Source organism: Homo sapiens, chromosome 15 (genome assembly GCF_000001405.40).
Source record: "Homo sapiens chromosome 15, GRCh38.p14 Primary Assembly".
Taxonomy (NCBI): domain Eukaryota; kingdom Metazoa; phylum Chordata; class Mammalia; order Primates; family Hominidae; genus Homo; species Homo sapiens.
In genome coordinates, this window is record NC_000015.10 from 52,347,086 (window position 1) to 52,370,612 (window position 23,527).

Below are 23,527 nucleotides of genomic sequence, written 5' to 3' on the forward strand. Positions count from 1 at the left end.
AGAATTATTAATTATTTTATATAAGAATAACTTTTTTCCAACATTTTAATTTTCTTTTTAATTTTCTCCGTTTAGTCAAATCTGTCTGACAAGCAATGTAATTTCAAAATCTTCTCCTATTCAGCTACTCTATCTTTCTAGACAAGAGTAAGAGATAAGAATCACTGCTGGCAAACCACAATGGAACATAGTTCCACACATGGAACTATGTAACAAACCTGTATATTCAGTACATGTATCCCAAAACTTAAAGCAAAAAAAGAAACCCTGCTGTGTAGCCTCTAAAAAACAATATACTTCAGAACCCAGTGGCTTTGTCTAAATGGAAACATTTCCACATAAAATTCAACTCAAAAGCTTTTGGACCACATATTTGTCTAAATAGTATATGTCTGATTCTTTAGTAAACATGATCTAAGCTCAGGCCTTGCAATGAAACAGACTTAATAAAATACACTTCAAATACCATGATCTTAAAGACAAGTTCCAAGATAACTTTAATGCCAATCAGAGACTTACAAATGCTTGTTTCTGAATTTCAATGTGTATTTTAAAAATCCTTAAAAAAAATACCACTTTTCTCTTAATGCTATCCTTTTGTAAGTTTATAAATGCTTCCTCTGAGAAGACCAACTATAATCTCATGAAATATACTAATAAATAGTTTACATTTTATTGAATTTTAAAAATCTTTCCCATTAAAACCACAGAGTATTTTTTTTAGCTATGTTTTGTAAATATTTTAGTACCTGTTTTACAAAGAGGTTCTTTTTTCTCTTTCTCTGAAAGGAATAAAATCTTTCTGTTTTATAAAGGGCCATACTCAGATTTTTAAAACCCATAAGTAATAACTTTCAAAGACCCAAGTGTTTACATCAAATAATGCTATCTGTGTGCTCTGGTATCTCAGGACTTACATGGTATGGTTGTGAACTTTTAGCAAATGAGGTAACTTGATCAAATTAACTAATCCAAGAGAAGAAAGGCTTCTTAGTATGCTTCTCTCCTGGGTGGTAAGTCACCAGTTCTTCCCTCATTCTGACTACCTTAGCTAAAAAGTGGCACTTGGGGAATGGGATCAGATTTGGGCCACCAGCATTCAGGAAGTTCCTGATTCACTGCTCAAACTTTGTCTCTCTTAAGCCTGTGACCAGAAGTTCTAAAAGGGTTGTGCTATATAGGAAAATTCCAGCAATATCTGTCACTCAGTACATAGAGAAACAGGGATATGGTAGAGAAATTTGACTTTGCAACCTCGTCAACGAGCCACATTTCATTCTAGCTGTGGACTCTACACTCAGGGAGATGAAAATGGCAGCAAAGAACAGTGTGCTCAGCTCCTCAGGCTCCCCTTCACCCTTAACCAACAAGCCCGCCACTGGTAGATATGAGAGCTCAGGAGAGCCTGTGCTTTTGAGTGTACTCCAAGTTAAGGGCTTCCCTCCCCAGCCTGTGGACAGCCTACCAGAACTACGGCAGTGAGTCATAGAGCTGCCTATGAATTAGAAGTCATGGAGTCCCCTCTATAATCTAGACTGGAGCCTACTATAACCACTGTTTCCCTACTGACTTCCCAAATCAGAAGGAGTCAAATCGGAAATTCACTTACAAATTCAAAATATCAAAATAGACTTGGTCAGAAAGCATCAATTGCCTTTATTGGGGGATACTTGTAAACTAAAGTTAGGATTAAATAGAAGTATTTACTAAAAAAAAAAAAAGGTATAATTACCTTGTCATCCTGAGAATCACAAGTCAGCAAGCACAAAAAACAGAGAAAACAATAAACCCTTAGTTCCATAAATAAATTTCATCAATGAGTTCCTATTATAACAGATAAAAGCTAATTTAAAAACAGCCATGAGTTGTTTCTCTAAAATTAACTCTATATATACATTAACATTCCTGGAACTGTCATAAAACAGAGACTAATATATATTTATATGTTGACAACTTCTATTTCCAGGAACAAATGCTTGAAATTCTTTTAAAATTGTTTTGATTTTTCTGGTTATAAAATATCTTTGAGTATGTGAGAGAATGACCCTCCTGTTATTTGTGGGTGAAATTCTTATCGTAGGTCTGTGGAGTTAAAGTTATGTCTCTCACAGAAGTCGTTTGTCCAAGGGAAGATTCCCAGAATACTCTAGAGGTGGAGCCAATACACAAGACCTGCCTGGGCTGGATCATTCCCTAGCTCACAGGGTGTTGCTCACCACTGCCCTGCAATGGAGTGGTGACATGATGTGTCTCTCAGACTAGAAACTGAGTGAGACAAACAGCCCTGGGGAGTCTGGAAGATCTTAATTAGTGTCAAGGGCATTTCTCCTAGGATGGGACACGAGTGCTACCATGTTTAGGCTGGGAGCTGAGGAACTTAGGTACCTCAGTTGGACCGGGTCAGCCCATTAGGGTCAGGAGAGCAGCTGTCACATGGGGTACGTGAGCCGGGCAAGGGAGAATGTGTGATAGCAGAACTATGTGCTCTGTTAGCTGGACTGTTTTTATGTCCTTTGCTTCATTTTTCTTTTCCTTTCTCTTGATTTTTACTAAAATTTCTTGTGAGATTACCACATTGCAACCCCATAAATATATACAATTATTATTTGTCAATTAACATTTTTTTAAGAAAGAATACTAATTTGTCTCAAGAAAACTAGAGAAAGGAATCTTGATTTTGGACTCTGCTCAAGCTAGATTGCAAGCCTTGTTTCTTGAGGCCCAGCCACAGTGGTAGCCAAGGGAACCAACTGTGACAGCCCTGGGGTAAGGTGCAACCTATACGGCAAGCCAAAATGGGGGTTCTTCTCATTTCTGGCTTAAGGGGTTTATGATTATGATTATGATTATGATTATGATTAGTTTGAGACGGAGTCTCACTCTATCGCCCAGGCGGGAGCGCAGTGGCACGATCTCGGCTCACTGCAAGCTCCGCCTCCCAGGTTCACGCCATTCTCCTGCCTCAGCCTCCCAAGTAGCTGGGACTACAGGCGCCTGCCACCACACCCGGTTGATTTTTTGTATTTTTAGTAGAGATGGGGTTTCACTGTGTTAGCCAGGATGGTCTCGATCTCCTGACCTCGTGATCTGCCCGCCTCGGCCTCCCAAAGTGTTGAGATTACAGGCGTGAGCCACCACACCTGGCCTGTGATTTATTTTAAAGTAAGAAAGCCCATTTCTCTATATAACTCCACTATTACAGGAATTTTATTCCCCCAAATTAGTCAAACATCTTGTTTTTAGAATTTGATATTTTTTGGACCAGTGTTGATCTCAGGTGTGAGTTGCCTTCATCAAGTCCGATTATACGTGCCAGGCACAGTATCTAAACTGCATGCAGAAATATCATTTCTAAGAGGAGTACTCTCAGATTTTCAGGCATCCAGCTCATTATATATCATGGATTTTTTTATATGACACACCACACAGTTGGGATGCTTGACTGCCTTGAGTCCTGTGATGCTCTGCTGTGTGCACAAGGGCAGGGAGGCAGGCCAGGTTTTCAAGGTGATCACTCAGATTCCCTCTGGTGGCAAATGACAGAAAGGCCCATCTCTCTTCAGCATACGGCAGCACTGGGTCTCAAATGAAGGCAGGGAAGGACTTCAAAGGGCCATCTATATCCTCAGTGCAGGAGTCCTCTCTGTTGAATCCTTAAACAGCCCCTCCCACTGGGACATCACCCCGCTACTAAACAGAACTGCCTAAAGTGAGCAGAAATCATCTCCATGTAACTTCCACTCACTGATGTCACTTCTAACCGGTTCATCTGTTACTTCTCCAATTAAACCAGCTATTTTTGACAAATGATTTTAAAGTTGTATTTAATGCCTTCCCGCAGTAAGAAAATTTAGAGATTTTTGTATTTAATAAAATTTTATTTTAGATTAAAATTTATTGTGGCCAGATTACTACAAAAAGATTAATTTTAAAACTCATGAGAGATGAAACTTTGTGATCATTTGGGATTCCCCTGGCTTTTTGCTCATTCCAATTTATACTTACAATAGTTTTAAACAACACTGGGATTTTTTTAAAAAAATAATGAATCCTCAATTAGATTAAAAATGCTCTTAAGTGTTTGCTGCATTATAAACTGGAGGGAAGGGATAAGAAGATATTGAGGCCAGTCCCCGAACACCCAGTTTAATTGTGTGCTTGCGCTTACCTTGGGTTGGATGGCCTCTTTCTGGCTCACCAGTTGAGACCTTAAGATGAGGACTTCCTCCTTGCGGACATCAAGCTCCTCGCTCACAGAGGTCAGCTGCTCCATGAGGACACGGTAGGCAGGTGCACCTGGGGCGGTCACCTCTGGGGCACTTTTCTCACTGAGGGCCTTGCGCAACTCATTTAGCTCATTCTTCAGTTTTTTGTTTTCTGATTCTAGTTCTTGACGCTGTATGAAAAGACAAAGAAAAGTTCATTGCTGTCATCCTCAACTTTACGTTGGATGCTCAAACTTCTCCCAAGCTGGTAGAAGAATTCTGCTGAAAAAGTTCATCAGAGTTACCCTAGTGAATGGCTTCCTAGGTTCTGCCAGGAGCCCTGCTTTGCAAATTAAGGAAGTCTGACATCAAGTAGAATTGAGCAAGGTCAATGGAAGTTTGCTTCATCAGCCCAAATTCCAGAGTCAAATGTAGTATTCTGGCCTGCCCAGGGTGTGTTCACTGGCATGGAGAGATTGCTGAGTCCCAAGGGGTGAGTTTAGCCAGTGCTATGGAGCCTAGCTTTTGTTTGCAGATAAATATATGGGAAATCTGAGGGTCCAGCTGGCCAGGATATTTCCAATGAATGATTCAGATGGGTGGATCCCTGAAGTCTTTAGTAGTCTCCTCTTACTTCCTTTATAAAGCAGAATGGAAAGACTATTGAAATGTTAGGCTTTTAACTTCTAATTTAAAAAGTTTACCATCTCATTCAAACTGGTAAAACTCCCTTTTGTGTCTAAATGACAACAAATAGTGTATTTTTCAAACTTCTTTTCTGTGTGACGCACTTGTGACATTGTGGGCAGAGCCTTGGGAGGCAGGAGGCAAGGCTGAAGGCCTTCCTCCAGCCATCCAGAAGGATATGCACATCCTCATCCCTCCAATAGTTCATGTCTTACCAGCCAGCCCCTGCCACCAGTTAGTGCTGCCCACTCCATGCTCTGTTCAAACAATGGCAACAGGAACCCAGAATAGAGTGCCACCGACACTAGCACACAAGTGTCACAAGATACTGGTTGGGAAACACAGATGCAGACAGGCACTTAAAAGCACCATGGTGCCTCATTTAGCACAGGACACAAGGCCTGATGATACTGAAACACTTGTGTATAAACATTGAATATTTTATTGTTTCTTCCCAGAGACAAAACCTTAGGTTTGTAGCACTATATCAGTCCTTTCAATGTGTTATATTAAAACTATTTAGGCTGGGCACTGTGGCTCACGCCTGTAATCCCAGCACTTTGGGAGGCCGAGACAGTTGGATCACGAGGTCAGGAGATCGAGACCATCCTGGCTAACATGGTGAAACCCCGTCTCTACTAAAAAAATACAAAAAATCAGCCGGGCGTGGTGGCGGGCACCTGTAGTCCCAGCTACTCGGGAGGCTGAGGCAGGAGAATGGCATGAACCTGGGAGGCGGTGCTTGCAGTGAGCCAAGATCACACCACTGCACTCCAATCTGGGTGACAGAGCGAGACTCCATTTCAAAAAGAAAAAAGAAAAAAGAAAAAAAAACTATTTAAAGTCCTTCTTTTTTCTAGTTTAAGAATATATAACCCTTTCTTTCATGAATTAATCTATTCTTTTGTAAAAATGAATGCTCTCTCCCTTCCCCATTCTCCCACCAACTGGTAATCAGATTCTTATTGCTCATTTCTGTAACAGAAGACACATAAATGTCATTACTTTGATGTGTAAACTACAAATGTTTCCCAAATTTACTGTGTATCAGAATCACCCAGAGGTCTTGTTCAAACACAGATTGCTGGGGCGCACCCTCAGAGATTCTGATTCAATAAGTCTAGTAGTGTGAGGCCTGAAAATTTGCACTTCCAACAAGCTACCAGGTGACATTGATCCTGCTGGTCCAGGGACCATATTTTGAGAGCCACTAATCTAATACTTTGTGAATCCAGGCTTCATTCACACTACAGAGAATGTTTTTATTCATTCATTATTGTGTGAAGCAGGAGAAGTCTGGAGAGCAGATTCCTACTCCTATGTCTGGTCTGCCCCATCATACCCAATTGGATTTTTATAGTGGCAGATGCTAGAGTCCACGTCCTTTACTACCACAGCCTCGAACAGCAGCTACTTCTCCTGTTCCTGTTAAGACTAAAGTCTAGCTTATATGAAATGGAATTTATAAAAAGAAACAACACAAGAAGTAATGCTGAATAAGGCTGAAGCTAGGACCTCTGGTGCAATCTCCAACCCTTAAGGATGTTCTCTGAGAAAAAGAGAGGCTCTGAATGGGCCTCTTGCCAAAACAAAATATTCAAAGTCTTGAGCAGAAACTCCCCATTACCTTGAGTGACTCATATTCCAGTTCTGCACCTCTAATTTGTGGTCTTTCTTCTTCCTAGGGAAAAGTTAAAGTTTTATATTTTAATTGTCACATTTTTACTCTTAAAATATTTACTTGCTCTACCGAAAACAGTGAAGAGAGTTTAGCCCTCACTACTTTAACCAAGTGGTGCTTGGATAGGCTGGGCTGAGTCTCCACTAAGGAAGAGACTGCTGAAATGGACATAAAGCCCAGCTTCAGCTCTGCGGATGGGCTGTGCTGCGCACCTTGGCCTTGCTGCGGAGCACCTGCTCCTCCTTGCGGTCCAGCTCATCCTGCATCACCTGCTTCTCCTGCTCCAGCTCTGTGACCCGCTTCTGGAGCTTAAGGAACAATGACATGTCCAGAGGTACCTTCTTCTCACTTGGTTCCTAAACCCCAGGAATCACAAAGATGGTCAAGACAAGCCAGAAGACATAAAAGCCAATGAGAAAATGACAAACAGCTCAATGGAAAAATAGGCAAACTTACAGAATAAGAAATACAAACATCTAGAGAATATATTTTTAAAATGCTCAACCTAGCTAACAATGAGAGAAATGCAAATTAAACAACAATGAGCTGCTACTTCTCCCCTATCAGACTGGCAAAGACTAAAAAGATTCATAATGCTCTGCATTAGCCACAGTGTCTCATATGATATTGGTGGAAGTAAAAGTAGGCCTTTGAAACGGGCAATTTTGCCGAACTTACTAAAATTTAAATGTGCATACCTTTAACCTAGCAAATCTACATTTAGGAATTAATCCTACAGAAATACTTACACAAGTATATAAAAATATATGGAAAAAGATGTTCATTGAAGCATTTTTTTTGTAATTGCGAAAAACTGACAATAATCTGAATGTCAGTCAATAGGACAGTTGCTTAAGTAAATTATGGTATAGCCAAACTGTGAAATATTTTTTAGCTGTTAAAAAGAATGAAGTAGGCCGGGCACGGTGGCTCATGCCTGTAATCCCAGCACTTTGGGAGGCCAAGGCGGGTGGATCACAAGGTCAGGAGTTCAAGACCAGCCTGACCAACACGGTGAAACCCCATCTCTGCTAAAAATATAAAAATTAGCCGGGCCTGGTGGCACACATCAGTAATCCCATCTACTCAGGAGGCAGAGGGAGGAGAATTGCTTGAACCCAGGAGGTGGAGGTTGCAGTGAGCTGAGATTGCGCCACTGCACTCCAGCTGGGGCAGCAGAGTGAGACTCCATCTCACAAAAAAAAAAAAAAAGAATGAAGTATATCAACATGAGCAGATAAATATATCTTAAAGTATTACATGATCACACAAACTGTAGGACAGAAAATATATCTTGTTTTTGTTAATAAAACACAAACATATGTGACTTTTAAATGTATACCTAGCACATGCATATAAAAATTTGGAAGGCCATCAGTGGTTATCTCAGAAGACGGAATGTACTATGGGAAGGTTTCATTTTTTACATTGTACATTCCCATATTTAAATTGTTTACAATGGGCAGATTCTACATTTACAATCAGGAAGAATGATTTTTGAAAATATGAAATGCCAGCATAAATATATTGAGATCACACAGAGAAAACTGAAATCTGATAAACCAAACATATACAGTCAGCCCTCCATATCCTTGGGTTCTGTATCTGTGGGTTCCACATCCTCTCAGATTCAACCAACTGTGGATCAAAAATATTCCCCCCCAAAAAAACTCCCAAACAATAAAAATGAAAATGATTATCACATTTTTACTGTTAGAATATTTACTGCCTCTTCAGAAAACAGTGAAGAGAGTTTAGCCCTCACTACTTTAACAAAACGCTGCTTGGTTAGGCTTGGCTGTGTCCCCACTAAGAAGAGACTGCTGAAATAGACATAAAGCCCAGCCTTGGCTCTGCAGATAGACCTGTGCTGCGCAACTTGGCTTTTTATTACAAATAAATAGTTATTATACTGTATTGTTTACATAGCATTTATATTGTCTTGGGTATTACAATATTCTATATTTGTCTTAGGTACTAAATAATGTTTTATTTAATTATATATTGTCTTAGGTATTAAATAATGCTATATTTACATAGCTTGTCTTAGGTATTATAAGTAATGTAGAGATGATTTAAAGAATATGGAAGGATGTGCATAGGTTATATGTAAATACTACTGCATTTTATATAAGAGACTTGAGCATCCTTAGATTTTGGTATTCATGAAAGTCCTGGAACCAATCCCCTGTGGAAACCGAGGGACGACTGTATAGTTCTTAATAAACTGAAGGATAACCTAATAACATTTTAAAAATGTGTCAACTGGTTCCAAAACAGAATCACAATGAGACCTACTAGGATAAATAAAGGTACACTAATTAAAGCTAAAAAGAATGGAAACAACTAACCATCATAATGGAAGTTGTGGATGCCATAATTGTTTTAACATGTTTACCTAAGGTTTTAATTTTTAATGAGGTAAGAAGAGAAATAATTGTACTATTAGAATTAATGTGGAAGATAAAGAGTCCCTTTGTTAGAGAGAGACAAGTGGGGCTGGAGGAGCAAGAGAATGGCAACAATCATTTATTTAACTAAATGGTCAAAGTATAATTCTTAAATGATTGGTAAATCTACCCAATTGTTTAAAAAGAGAATGTTTACTTTTGCTTTTCTGATATGAGAACAGAATAAGCTTTTACAGAAAATTTAGGAAATAAGAAAAGTTCAAAGAAGAAAAACACAGCCATAATCCTATCGCCACAGAAAAACTACAATTTTTTCTTAGTCTTTTTCTCTATGCATCTATAGATTTAAAGAATTAGAATAATAATGTCATTATAATTTTATATGGTCTTTTAAACTTGGCATTGCATTGTTTCCCAAATTTATAATATGATATTTCAATATATAGACAGGTGTGTCACCATTTGCTTAGCTATTATTTTACTGATGGGTGTTGAAGTTGTTTCTAATTTTTTGCTATTGGAATATTACTAAAATAAACACCCCAGTATATAAATATCTAAACATTAACTTCTTAAAAGTCCATTAAATTGGGCCAATTTAAACTTCTATCAGCAACCATCACCTTGCCTTCAACAGTAGTAACCGTTATAATTAAAAAAAAAAAAAAATTAGCTCAGTTAATAGACCAAAAGTGGCACTTCGCTGTTGATTTAATTTGCATTTCTTTGACTTTTTTTTTTTTTTTTTTATTTTCAGGAATTGTATATTAATTAGCTACCTTTGGTCTTTCATGAATTCAGAGTAGTGTTAAGTGTTATTCCAATTCAAAAACAACCTGAGAAGAATCAACTGAACAAAAAAGTAGGCATTTATAGGCTGTCAAAGTCATTTGTCCACAAATTAATTACACCTGAACTTTTTCTTTCTGCCTACTTTGTAATACTTAACAATTAGAAAAAGTTTTAGGTATATAATCTTTATAATAAAGTCTGTCCTGACTTAGCAGAACAGATATAACATCTTGCCTCAACACGAAATCACCACAGAATTTCATTCATATAAAAATTCTTCTCTATACGTCCCCCATAAAAATTAAGCGTAAAATACTTATATTGAAGCTTATTTACAATGTAAACATTCCATATTATATATTTTAATGTTTGTTCATTTATGAATGATGTACATGTCCCTGAAATTTTAAATTATTTAATCTTTTCTTACACTGTCATAGAACCTTTCATTCTAGAAATGAATATAATACTTCATTCATTATACCTAAAATATCACTTGGAAATCATTCCTTTGAGCCTTGAATGGGCACTTTTTGTTTAAAAGGAATCCTCTTATTAAAATGGGATGGTGTTTTGATAACTAGAACTAGCAAAAAAAAAAAAAAAAGAAAAAATGTGATGGGTTAACTCTTTAGACATTGGCTAATACTATATAAACAACTAGTTGATTGCTGGACAAGAGCAAAATTCTGTGGATAAGAATATTAAAATAGAAGGTGGAAGATCACAAAAGATTACATTTGAAAAATGCAAAATGACTCGAGGCATAAAGAGTGGTAATTATTTAAGAGTGCTCCCGATGGTACCCATTCTGAGCCCGGATGACACATCTAATTAAAGAGATGCTATCAAATTAAAGAGCTGTCCTCACTATACCCCATGAGCAAGAAGGAAGATTGGGCCATCTGTCACAGAGAAGTTTCTGAGGTTTTGTTTCGCTTTTTGCCTTAGTAAGGACTTTGTCACCCAGGGCTTTTCTAAGACAGCGAAGCTTTTTAACTGACCTAAAAAATAACACTAGTCTCTCATCTGAGGAAAATCAAAATAACTGAATTTATTCACAAAATTACCACCACTACAGGCCTGGCAGTCATTCTGAAATAACTCCTAATGATAGCTGAGAAAGTTCTGGTGACCCTTCCCAGAGGTGAAAGGTGTGAGAAAGCTTGACAGCAGAAGCAGAACAGGGATCATCAGTCAAGGGCTCCTAGAAGAGGTGCACACCAAGCAGGAGGAGCACTGGTTCCAAAGCAATGTCATCCCAGCCCATGAAGATCGGCAAGCGTGGGAGGGCTGCAAAACAAGTGGGACTGGCAGGCGAATTCTCCACAGAGCTACAGACTGGTTTCCGGCAAGCACACCCTTTTTATCATGGCTTCCCCCTACCAGCAGAGCTGCTAAAGTGGTACTACACTGGAATGGGCAGCTTGTAAATGTACTTCCCTCCGACTATTGCAAGTGAGTACTCCCACTGAGATCAACAGGATGTAATCCTAAAACCTTCCTATCTACTGAAGGCTCAGAAGTCCTAATTTTTAAATCTTCAAAGTCTAACTTTGTGGTATTCTCCAAAGATGGCACCAATGATTCTTCTCAACATACAAGTATTTCCTCCCAACAAGAGATGGAATCTATCCCCTTTGCCTTGAATCTGGGCTGACCTTGTGATTTTCTTTGATCAGAATGCAGCAGAACTAACACTGGGCCAGTTCTGGGCCTAGCTCTAAGAGGCCTGGCATCTTTTAGTCTGTCACTCTTAGAACCCACCTACCTGCTGCTGAACAGAGGCTACATGGAGAGGCCCAGGGAAGAGAAGCAAGCACTCTACAGAATGCAGCTACATGAGGCACTCCGACCACCACCACATGGAACAGAAGAACTCCCCAGTCAAATCCCACAGAATTATGAGTAATAATAAATTACTGTTTTTTAAAAAAAAAACACTAAAACTTGAGATCATTTATTACATAGCAATAGATAACTGGAAAAACCTCTATCCTGCTATATCCTGGCCATACTGTTATATCCATGGGCCCCAGCCAATGTTAGCTATAGATAGAAAAGGGATTGGAGAGTTGCAGTACAGAATCCCTGGATGGAAGTCAGTAGAATATAATGGCTTAAGAACATGAATTCTAAAGAGACAAGCCTCAGTTAGTATGCTGGATCTACCATTTATAAGCTGTGAACCTGGACAAATTACTTAGCCTTCTTGTATGTATGATTCCAATGATATGACATTCCAACTATGTAACATTTTTCTTCAAAATTAACAGAATGAGATGGCAGAAACTTCATTCTTAAGTAGAACTAAGACAAGAAAGGAAAGAATCACTCAATTTCTCTAGCTATTCTACCAGAAGCAGTCTATTTCTGATTTGGCCATTTTCAAAAAATATAATATAAAAATAGGACAGTTGTGCCTGAATTACCCATTATTGAAACTATATCATATTTTAAAAGATCTTAGAATTGGTTGGGAATAATCTAACTAAAAGTCACTATACTCTTGGAGTTACAGTAATACATCATTTTGGTTTCATACCACAAAACACAAAACATTAAAGCAGATTTCTAAACTATTTTCCATGCATTTTGTAGAAGAAAGTTACATTGGTAAAAACTGGCATAAAATAGAGGCATCAGTTTTGCTAAACTCTGGGGCACTGGTGTTTATAATATTCAAGGACAAAGGGCTTACTTTAAAAATAATTTACCTCTGTCTACAGCGGTGGTCCACAGATATAAAGTAAATAAATAATAAGTAAAAATAAAATAATTTACCTCAGTCTGAAATAAATTCCTGTAAACATATCATGTTAGGGGTAAAGAGAATTATAAAAATAAAATCTCACCATCAAAATTGCATTAAAAATTAAAATTAAAATTTGTATTGACAAAAAAATGCAATAGGTATGTATGTACACAGCACTTAAGTATACAAAAATGTAAATAAGTTTGTATCTACAAGTCACTTATGAAGAATAAATGATTCAAACAAATACTATGTTTATGGCCAATTGGAGTCTGCTTTGCAATGGAAATGTTCCTTGTTAACAACAGCATGCTCATATCCTACTTTCAGTGACAGATGTCTAAACTGTACCTCTGTCCTTGATGGAATGTCTTCCATTTCTGCAATTTCAGAGCTAAAGATATATTCAGACTCGTTGCTGCTGTGGGTGGAGTCTGTTCTCTTGTGTCCAGGCTTAGGCACATGCTGCAAGGCAAATAACCCAGGTATAATTAATGCAACATAATTAGTCTAGGCATAGTTAAGACAGCATCCACCTTGACTTGGTTCTTATCCCTACTTCCTGACTTGTATTGGTGCCCAAGTGATTTGTTCCATATTGTTTTGACCAAATAATTACAAAAAGGTCACCGCTTCAAAGAAAAAGGTACACTGGCATGACAGGACAAGAACAGTTGCAAAACCAAATGCCCAAATGAAAACCACTTCTGATTATTAGTCGAGTCCCCTTTGGGTGTTGAAAGCTTTGAGCGGTCAGTCACACTGGGTGAAGCAGTGCTCAGTGAAGCACTGGGTGAAGCTTCCAAGCACTGACTTTTAGTGCCATAATCAAATAAAACTTACAAAAACCTCATAAAATATATTGAAATGGCATGCACAATCATTTTACTGCATGGTAACTAGGCATAAATGGTTTAAAAGAAAGATGAAGGAGTTCACACAGGCAGCTCTAACTTCTGTCACTTTAATACGTGAAGTTAAATCTTTGGAGTGAGCAGTGGGCAGGATGGACAGTACACGGGAGGTAAGAAAGCTGCTCTAGTAATCCTCTGAAGAGCCCTCGGTTATTACCTCAGGGCATCCAGGTGGCATTTTTATGACATGTAATACCTAGGAAATTAGTGTTGAGAAAGTTCAAGAGGAATAGAAAAGTTTAGCAACGACACACCCTTCCCTCCTGTAGGAGAAGGGGTTAGAGAATAACTTGAGGGAAGAAGGAATTAAAAGGCTGGGCTCTTAGCATGTCCCCAGCAGGAGAGGTGGAAAAGATCCAGTGGCTTAATCTTGCAGTGTTACAGTCCTGAGGGCTTCACAAAGGCCTCTGAGAGCTTTCTCATCTGTCCAGTTTTCTTTGTACCTTTCCCCAGCTGCTGGAAAAGAGCTAGAAGCCACAAAGAGCTTCTTTGTCTCTTCCCTTCCAACACCCAGGCTTATGGAGAGCAGACTCATCCAGAGGCACGTAAAAGTCTCCCAGGCCAACCCAACCTGTACTGCAATGTGAAGGGAAGATCCAAGAACACCAGCACCTCTGAAACGATCCAGAAGCTGGGGTGCACACTAAAGGGGACAATCATCACACATGAAGTCAAAGGCACTCAAATTCACTGTCTGTTTACAGACACAGGCACTCTTGCTTAAAGTTTCCAGCCCAAGCCCACAGTTGTAGGAATGGCATTTATTTAATAAACTGGTTGTATCACTAAGAAAACCAGGTAGTCCAGATAAACACCAGGACAAAGATTTTTAATAAGCTTATTAAAAATGAGAGAGATCCCTGTCTTCCCACATATGTCTATCATTATACAAGGAATACCTTAAGGCATTAATAGAAGCAACATTGCTTTTTGCTATTTAATGTAACTTTTGGATACAGGGCAGTGATTAAGTGCTCTGGATCTGAAACGAGAGAGAGTTAGGCAGGAATACCAGCTCTTCCACTAGCTGGTATTTTCATCATCAGGAAAAAAAGGGTACTAATTTCTATCTCATAGGGTCTGTGTGAGGATTAAATAAGAGTGTGGAAGTAAAGAGTTTGGCTTGGCATAACAAGCATTCAATGAATGTTAACTTCTGCTGCTGTGATTGTTAGGAGATTGCAGTGATTCAGCAACTTCCTTGTTGGTAACTTTTCAGTTCTCTGTTTTTAGGATTTTGTTCCCCCGTTTATACGTTTTTCAATTACAAGGATATATATTTGACTGGATCATCACGTTCTCCTTCAAGATCTGCACCTCCCTCCTCTTCTGCTCCTGATTTCTCCCATGATTCCTTCTTTTCCAGAACATGTTTTATCCCTTTGTCAAGACTAACGACCCCATGATTGACATGCTGGTTTCCCTCCCCTCTCTGGAATTAATTTATCTTTAAACACTTCATAAACCTGGATGCCCATGCCTCATGATCTTTTCATCATTGGCTTGAAACTCCTTAGCCCTGGATTGGTCCTTCCTCTTTGCCTCTGCCCCTATATTCCCTGGACAACCGAATGTTCTTGGAGAAAAATGCTACAGTACTTCTTGTACTAGGGCCAACAACTCTAGAGGCTGGCAATGAGTGACACTATTAGTGTTCTTTGGCCCATGTATCACATAGGTTATGGGAAGCGCTGGAGGCAGTGTATCAAGTCCCCTCCCTAGAGTTTCCTCCATTCATATGACGACTCTGTTTACAACCAAATGCTTCATTAGCTCTGGATTGAAGCAGTGAGAGTGTCATTTACAGAACAGCGTCAGTCTAATATTAGTCAAGTACTCATCTGTTAGCTGTTTAGTTGTACCTAAACATTAAAATAAGATATTGTCACTAATATTTTAATTGTCATGGGTTAAAAGATCAAGTTTTTTATTCTCTGCAATTCTGGGCAAATATTTTCTGCAAAAACTGTCATCTTGATTATATCTGGAGCTAGGAAAAGGAGATCTAGTGAAGAAATGAGTGGGAAGCAAGTGAGCTCTGATCTCCCTTCCTCTGCTTTCTCCTTTTCCCTTCCTCTGACCATTTTGTCTCCCAAGAGGAATGACTGAGTCACAGGCATACAATGGAGAGGACACATGACTGAGAAATAAGAAATTGAGCAACTAAAACTACCTCTAGAGCACTGCTGGGAACAGATGGAGAGCAGGCAGACTTGCTTAGCAGGAAGGAGGAGCCGTGTCAAGCTGCTGGAGGAGGCGTCACTGGAGGACCTTTCTAGAAATGGCCACCTCCTCGACTAAAGAGACCCATGACCTCCTCACAGATGGATATCTCTGGAATATGCTCAGAGAGGGATACATGTATGGCACCTGCTTCTCTCATTTTATTTTCTGAAATTCATATTGCATGCACCATTAAAGAATCCAAGAAATTCTCCAGAAAAGACATTTGTTTATCTCTGTTTAACCTAGTAGATTACCACATTTATTTTACCTAAGAATTTCTTTTCCAATCCCACTTATTAACATCCCAAATAACTAGGGGGTCTCAGAAACACCTACTGGGTTATAAAGCTTAGCTCTAACCATAACTGAAACAGAGATTAACCATAAATGTTGGCATTGTCATCTAATAAATAGAGTGAACAAAAACACACCAAAGAATGGAACTGGGGAACATGAACACTGAAAAAGAAGAAAAGGATTCAAGAGAAAGCTAAGAATTACAGAATGTGAAGGAAGAAAGGTTTCAATGGGACCAACGGTAGCACGGTGATCTAGGAAGATGAAGCTTAACAAGGGTCTTTAGATTTGTCAATTATAAGAACAGTTATAATGGTGACTTGCATCTACTTCTAATTTCTCTTTGTCACACATAAATCAGAGTAGTGAGGGTTGAAATAATGGTCCAATGTGGGATTTATATTAGCTTTTTGGTCTCTTTTAGACAGGATTTTCTCATCTGCAAGGTGATGAGAGCCTATCTTTTGTATTACACAATCTCTTTTATTTTGACTTTTAAGTGTCATATTGTAATGAACTTTGTCAGTAGGTCCAGATAGAAGCAAAATTTGAAGAAAATACTCTGCTCCACAGATACTGAATTATCTGGCTTTTTATGAGATATTTCAGGGCATTTCTGGTCATTTGTATAATTAGGTTACCTTTAAGGCTGGTACTTGTAGGGATGCTTGGGAACTCTTTGTTTCCTGATAGCAGGATACATGGAATGGGGAGGATGTGCAGAATTATTACAAGTATGAAAGGTACATTGGCAAATGCAGAAGAGTCCTTGAAATAGATAATTCATTACAAATGGAGTCTGAATTTTCTTTTCATAGGAATATATCTTCAAAATTATAATCAAAACCAGTCTACATGTAAATTTTACATTAGGCCATTCAATATATAAAACAAAGTCCAACTGGCCGGGCGCAATGGCTCATGCCTGTAATCCCAGCACTTTGGGAGGCCAAGGTGGGTAGATCATGAGGTCAAGAGATCGAGACCATCCTGGCCAACATGGTGAAACCCCATTTCTACTAAAAATACAAAAAATTAGCTGGGCATGGTGGTGGGCACCTGTAGTCCCAGCTACTCGGGAGGCTGAGGCAGGAGAATCACTTGAACCTGGGAGGCGGAGGTTGCAGTGAGCCGAGATTGTGCCACTACACTCCAGCCTGGTGACACAGGGAGACTCCATCTCAAAAAAAAAAACAAAAACAAAAACAAAAATCCAACTTTACTGACTTTATACTATCACATAGCCCAGTCTTTAAACTGTTTGACTTTACCGAAGTACTTGTGAATAAAATTATATGATTTCTAAGATTTGCTTTAAAATAATCCAATCCATTGGATGGAGTGGGTTGGGGAGATGGAATGGGAGGTGAATATGTGTTGAACATTCTGGAACTGGGTGGTAGGTACACAGAAGATATGGAGGTTCATTCTACTATTCTATTTACTTTTGTATATGTTTAAAATTTTTCATTAAAAAAAAAACAAAAGTGTTTGACTCACCACCATAAGGGTCATCTCTTCCTTGAGGTCATCATATCTTTCTTCCAGGCGACTGAACTCATTCAGAAGGTTCTGATATCTCAGCCTTTCATCATTAAGGTCGAGTTCCAGTTGTTTCGTTTCTTCTACTAACTTCTTCTCCATAGTTTCTGAAATTAAAAAAAGGATATGCATACTAAAGATGGCCCCTTGAGAATGCAATTGTGTAAACATGTATACTGATTTCCAGTTTCTCTGTAGGCAATTTTACTTTTAGTATCACTGTGATCCATGAAGAGTGTCTTAGTAAAATTTAGGAAAAGAAAAAATGACCAAAAAATGAAATAATTTATTAATAATAACAATCATCTACTGAGTTATTCCATGTACTCTGGCCTTAGTACCACTAATTGATACACTGGTTACAGCACATCCTTGAAAAACTTCCACTAGTCAGTCACTGTCTAGTAACTAAAGTGTACATATTTTTATTCCAATGGTATTCTATTCATAAAATTATTTTGCCCAAAGTAGTGTACTCTCTCAAAATGACCTCCTCACAGATATTTCTCAAGAGAGATATTTCTCAAGAGAATGGCAACTTTTCAGTGGACCCGGTTGTCCTACTCTACAGAGTCTCTCTTAATTTACCATCTCACAGTTCTGTCTTACGTTTTCTACGACTTTAACCTCCCCTGCTGTCCTATTACTTCCCAGCTTCTAACCAGATAAAATGCTCGGGCCTGGCCAGCTGTGTTGTGTGCTTGTTGGTCATCCCCACGCGCTGCTGAGGAAACCTTGCCTTCTCCATTTACCTACACCCTCAGCCCTCTTTGTGGCTGTGGTTTGCTTTTGGCTAGGACATGATCTGGAGATTGGAGATTAGCCCTTGACTGCAGATGAAGTAAAGTAACAAAACCTCAAATCTCAGCTGTATGTCTTAACTCAATCAGCCAACCAGTCACATTTATAATATTAAGCTTCTACCACTTTGCTCCATGTTACCCATATATTTTGAGGCTAAATCTTAATCTGCCCTGCCTGCTTCTATTGCTTCACCACTGCTTTCTCTGTGAGCACGATGAGGCAAGGGCTACAAGTGTCTTGTCACAGCTGCTTTCCTGGTGCCCACCACAGTGCTTCCCTAGAGTAGGGCTTTAATAATTTGTAAATGAATGAATGAAAGAATTTCTTCTCTCTAAAACATTCTACAAGTTGCCTTTTATTCTCACCAGTTTGCAGAAGCTGCTCTGAGCCTACCAAAAAATTTTCCCTTGGCAAACTCACTGTCATTTCTTTGTTCTTACAGTTCACTTTCAAATAACATTTTATATTTTCCTAGAAGATTCTCATCATTCTGGATCCTTCTGTTACATGCTGCCTCCCAGCAGCCTTCTTTCCAGGGCTCTGTTTTCTCCTTCACCTCTTAATTTTATTTTCTGGCTCCTTTTCTTTACCTCATCCCTTAGTATGGTCATTAATTCCAGGTTTTCTTCTCTTTCCTCAGTATTAGCCCCTTCAGCTAGGAGAGGTGAGGCAGTCTCTCTTACCACCACAGTTTTAATGGGTATCTTTAGGCTCCCTTCTTATTTTTTCTCTACTCTTTAATCTGGATTTGCTTTCTGAATACCTCCATGTTGAGGTCCTAGCTGACATATCAAACTTAACACTCCAACAACTGGCCTCATTAATTTGCCTCATAAATGTATACTTTTTTCTCAATATCCGTATTACTAATAACATATCTTTATTGTTTTGTTATCTCATTGTAAAATCTTAGAACATTTTTGCCTTTTTTGAATACCAGTGTAATCAACAGAATGTATATGAAAATGTATTATTTTCATATAATATATCCCCATTCCAAACCATCTTTTCTCTTCCATTTCCACCACTAATTACTGTATAGATCTGTATCTTCTTACCCCATATTTATATATATGTGGATTCCTTATAAACTTATCACCATTCTAACCTACCCCACAAACAGAAAATAGAATAAATGTCCATATCTAGTTAGTTCTCTATTTTAAAAATTAGTGTTTTTTTAGACTAGCAAAGAGTGGTGAATCTTAGAATAACATCCATTGATTTAGCAAAAAAAAAAAAAAAAAAAAAAGACAATACACACACACACAGAAATATACACATATCAGCTCAAAAATTCTTACTAAATCATTAGGAATCCTATAAGCCTTAACTAGTAAATCACACATGCAGAACAAATTAATTTTAAAAAAAAATTACATATGACACTGACTGAACCGGAGTTCACATTTGTACCTAGAGATACCAGATTTACAAGTTTATCAAGCAACGAATTCAACCAAAATATCTGATCTGTTGCCTCTTGGAACTTTATAAATTTGCTGATGACAGCCTCAACTTTTAAAAATATTTAAATTCTAAATAATGTTGTGTAACTCATCAAATGACATTGTAACTTACATAACTTTGGTGTGAGGTTGGTTGGCGTGTAGTACGCATATAAGCTTTACCTGTCATCTCCTTAGCCTGCTGCACGATGCGGTGATTGAGGGCTTCTTTTTCTTGCTTCAGCAAAGTATTTTCTTCCTTCAGATTTGATACCAGCTACGAAATGAAACAATAAACTGAGATGGTTGCAATGGACAGAGGAAGCCTGATGACCAAGGATAAAGACCATAAGCAGTCATTCCTTACTTCCACCACCTCTGTGCTCCCTGTCTTTGCCTGGTTATGTCTAGTCACCTTACAAACTTGCTCAAGCATTACTCCCTCCCAAGAGCCTTCCTGAAACCCCCTTCAATTAGCTGTCTTTTCCCTGTGCTACTACAAGACCCTGTATATGCTCTTTATATCCGTTATAAATGATTTACTTTCCTCTTTTCCAGAATAGACTAGAATTTCTTGAAGGATAAGGATGGTGATGGTTTTTTACTTTACATTAAACATTAAAACATTAAAGTTTTACTTTACATTAAACATTAAAAAATTGCCTGGCACTAAGTCAGCATTTGCTCTCAAAGGTAATTGATATTACCTTCTCCTCTGAATGCTTTCACACAAAGCTTATGTGTACCCATGATTCAAGTGGGGAGATTAAGGAGGTTAAGAAGGATATGAGGATGTTTAGTTTGGGAAATTCACTGAAGAGCTTTTGATTCTCCCATCTGATGTCAAGAAAGAGAATTTCTCTTTCATCTCCCTTTAAGAGTTTTACAAGGCTGAGAACTAGTCCTTTTATTCCATGTTTAAATAAGCATTGACATTACAACAATGTCAATGTACTTAATGCCACAGAACTGTCCACTTAAAAATGGTGAAAATGGTAAATTTTATGTCATGTATATTTTAAAACACACACACACACACACACACACACACACACACACACACACACAAGTTGACTCTTAACTTTCTAGTTCTTTGCTGGATAAGGATTCCCAGGAAGGAAAAGTTAAAACCAAAGGTAATTTTGCAAAGTACATAATTTACTCAGCTCATCTTTGGAATAAAGTGTGTGCTTATGATGAGTAAAATCTGAATTCCTTTTTCTAAGCTAAAGTTTAAGGAACTCTGAAAACAAGAGCTTTAATAATAGGGAGAGAACTGGCAGGCAAATCTCTTGTCATGTCAGGGGGTTTAGGACAGGAAAAGAGGGCTCCAGGGAGCAGGAAAGTTGGATAACTACACTGTGCCACACACAGCAGACATCAGTCCAGTAGGTATCCCTTCCGAGGGCTCAGTCTTTTCCCTCTGGACTGACCTTGCCTTAACATCCACTCTCAGTAAAAAAAGCCCCAGCTCTCTGTGGGCTTTCAGGAGAGGCTCTTGTTTGGTAGGGGTGCACAACCAATCACCTATGGTACTTTTTCAAAATAATGTGCCTAGCCCACACTCCCAGAGTCTGGATAGCTCCCTTTTTATATAAAAACTCCCCAGCAGTTTTGATAAATGCTCTTGGTTAGGAACCATACATAACTCTACTGTAACTTCTGGGCTCCTTGATCAGACTGAGAATGTCATTTTCCTGACCATGAAGCTGACTGTCACAGTGAAATGTTTTCATTCTTCCCCTATCACTACATTCCATCAAAAGAACTAATGGGGCCAGGCGCAGTGGCTCACACCTGTAAACCCAGCGCTTTGTGAGACCAATGTGGGAAAACAGCTTGAGGCCAGGAGTTCAAGACCAGCCTACACAACATAGGAAACACCGTCTGAACTAAAGTTAGTGCCTACAGCTATCTCTGTGAGAAGTGGGAGAAAATGAAATGAAATGAAAGAAAAAATCTGAATCTGCTTGTGTGTTTATTCTATCAGACTAGAAAGGCAAGAACTTGGCTTTGAAAAGGAAAGGAGAATCTTCCCACCACACTTAACTACTGTACAGATTCTGAGGAATCCGAAGCTGGAAAGCTTCCGTGGTTTGGGGAGACTTAAAGGGAAGAAAAGAGATCTTAAACATTCAAGAGTATCTTTTTGAGTGCACGTCTTAATTCTGAGAGAACAAGCTTGCTGTATCAAAACAACATTATATAAAACAGAAAAGAATCTCACCTTTTGGCACTGCTGTTTCTATATATAGAGTACAGATCTAGAGATATAGGAGGAATTACTTTACTGGAACCTGTAATGCCATGGAAGGACTGCAATTTTACCAGCCACCCTATCCTAACCGACCTGCATCTAAGTTCCTGCTGTAGTTCTCACTGCATGTGCTGATATTAACATTTAGAAGTCAGTACAGACAAACCATATCAGGATTCTTGCCAGCAGTTACAGCTGACACAGGCAACTCTGTTTTCATTTAAAGATGGTAATACCAGCGGAATCTCTGAAAATCGATTACTTTTTTCCAGGAAGCCTAATGTTGAGGTACTTTTACAAATGTTTCAGCAGTACATCTCATTACTACTTGACAATCTTAATGTCTTCTATACTTAATAAAGTTTTGATATGTTAATACAAATTTGAAGCGTGCAAGTACTGGTCAATCTGAAAGCATTTTGTGGGGAGGGTTCCATCTGCGTAAAGCTGTTGGTTGCAATCACTGTGCAGACATTTAGACTTCTCCTGCTTGGACTTCTTAATACAGCCTTAATGCAGGCTTCAACAAGGATCCCTACCATCAGGTACTAAATATTATGTCTAATGTTCCATTATTAGAACACTAAGCATGTGGGAGTTATTTATATTCTACTGCTCAAGGTCATTGCCAAAGACTGATTTTGCAATTCAAAAAATTGCAACCTTAGGCATAAATGGGTTAATCACATTAACCCTACTGAAGAAAAAGGAGTCTACGCCCCAGACTGACTTTTTTTTTAAAAGGAGTCTATGCCCCAGACTGACTTTTTTTTTTTTTTTTTTTTTTTAATATACAAGTGTTAGTAGGTACTTGGCCATTCTCTCCTAAAAATACAGCTTTGCCTCTGTTCTTATTAGAGTAGAAAGTTCTACTAAAAGACCTACAGCCTACTCATTGATAATGAGAAATAAATGCTTGGGAAACAGTAATAATGAACAGTAATTCAACTAAAATTTGTACTGCATTTCTAATAAAACCAACAGTGAGTCACACGGACCAAGTCATGATGACAGCACCTCTCTTTTGTGTACGGAGTAGATGGGGATATGGACATTATTCCTACCTGCTCTGTTTCTTGTTTGTATCGATCTGCATGTTCCTCAATGCATTTTTTCTCTGAACGAGTTTGCTCCAGGTCTTTCCGGAGCTTGGCAATTTCTTCCTGCAGACTAAGGACCCGCCCAGTGGCAACTTTCGCTTCCTCTTCACTTAGTTGAAGACGTTCTAAGTCACTTCGTAGTTTCTCAGTCTCAGAGTTGTATATTCCTTCCAGATTGGTTAGTTTCTCCACAAGGCATTTGTAGTCTTTGTTCTTTAAACATACACATAAGTAACAATAAGTAAATACACATATCATCAAATGTATTTAGTAAGAAAACCATGTTTATTCATCATATTCATGCTATATCATCATAACATTGATATAGTATCCAACCAAAATACTACAACATTTGCAATAGCACAACCAATACCTTCTAGGTGACACAAACAGAGAAGAAAACAGGCA

The 23,527-nt window shown here is 38.5% G+C and overlaps 1 protein-coding gene across 12 annotated transcripts in view; it reads right to left on the reverse strand.

The window, feature by feature from the left end:
- The window catches only part of MYO5A (myosin VA), a 221,768-nt gene that overhangs the window by 39,803 nt on the left and 158,438 nt on the right, over positions 1-23,527 (reverse strand). For 8 of the 12 annotated variants that reach the window (XM_047432541.1, NM_000259.3, NM_001142495.2 and 5 more), the window contains 8 exon segments: positions 23,084-23,332; positions 19,946-20,039; positions 17,469-17,617; positions 12,883-12,996; positions 6,786-6,929; positions 6,520-6,573; positions 4,169-4,396; positions 1,733-1,741 (listed from right to left, as the gene is read on the reverse strand). In XM_047432541.1, the coding sequence (XP_047288497.1) occupies positions 1,733-1,741; positions 4,169-4,396; positions 6,520-6,573; positions 6,786-6,929; positions 12,883-12,996; positions 17,469-17,617; positions 19,946-20,039; positions 23,084-23,332 (1,041 nt within the window). 12 annotated transcript variants of the gene reach the window in all.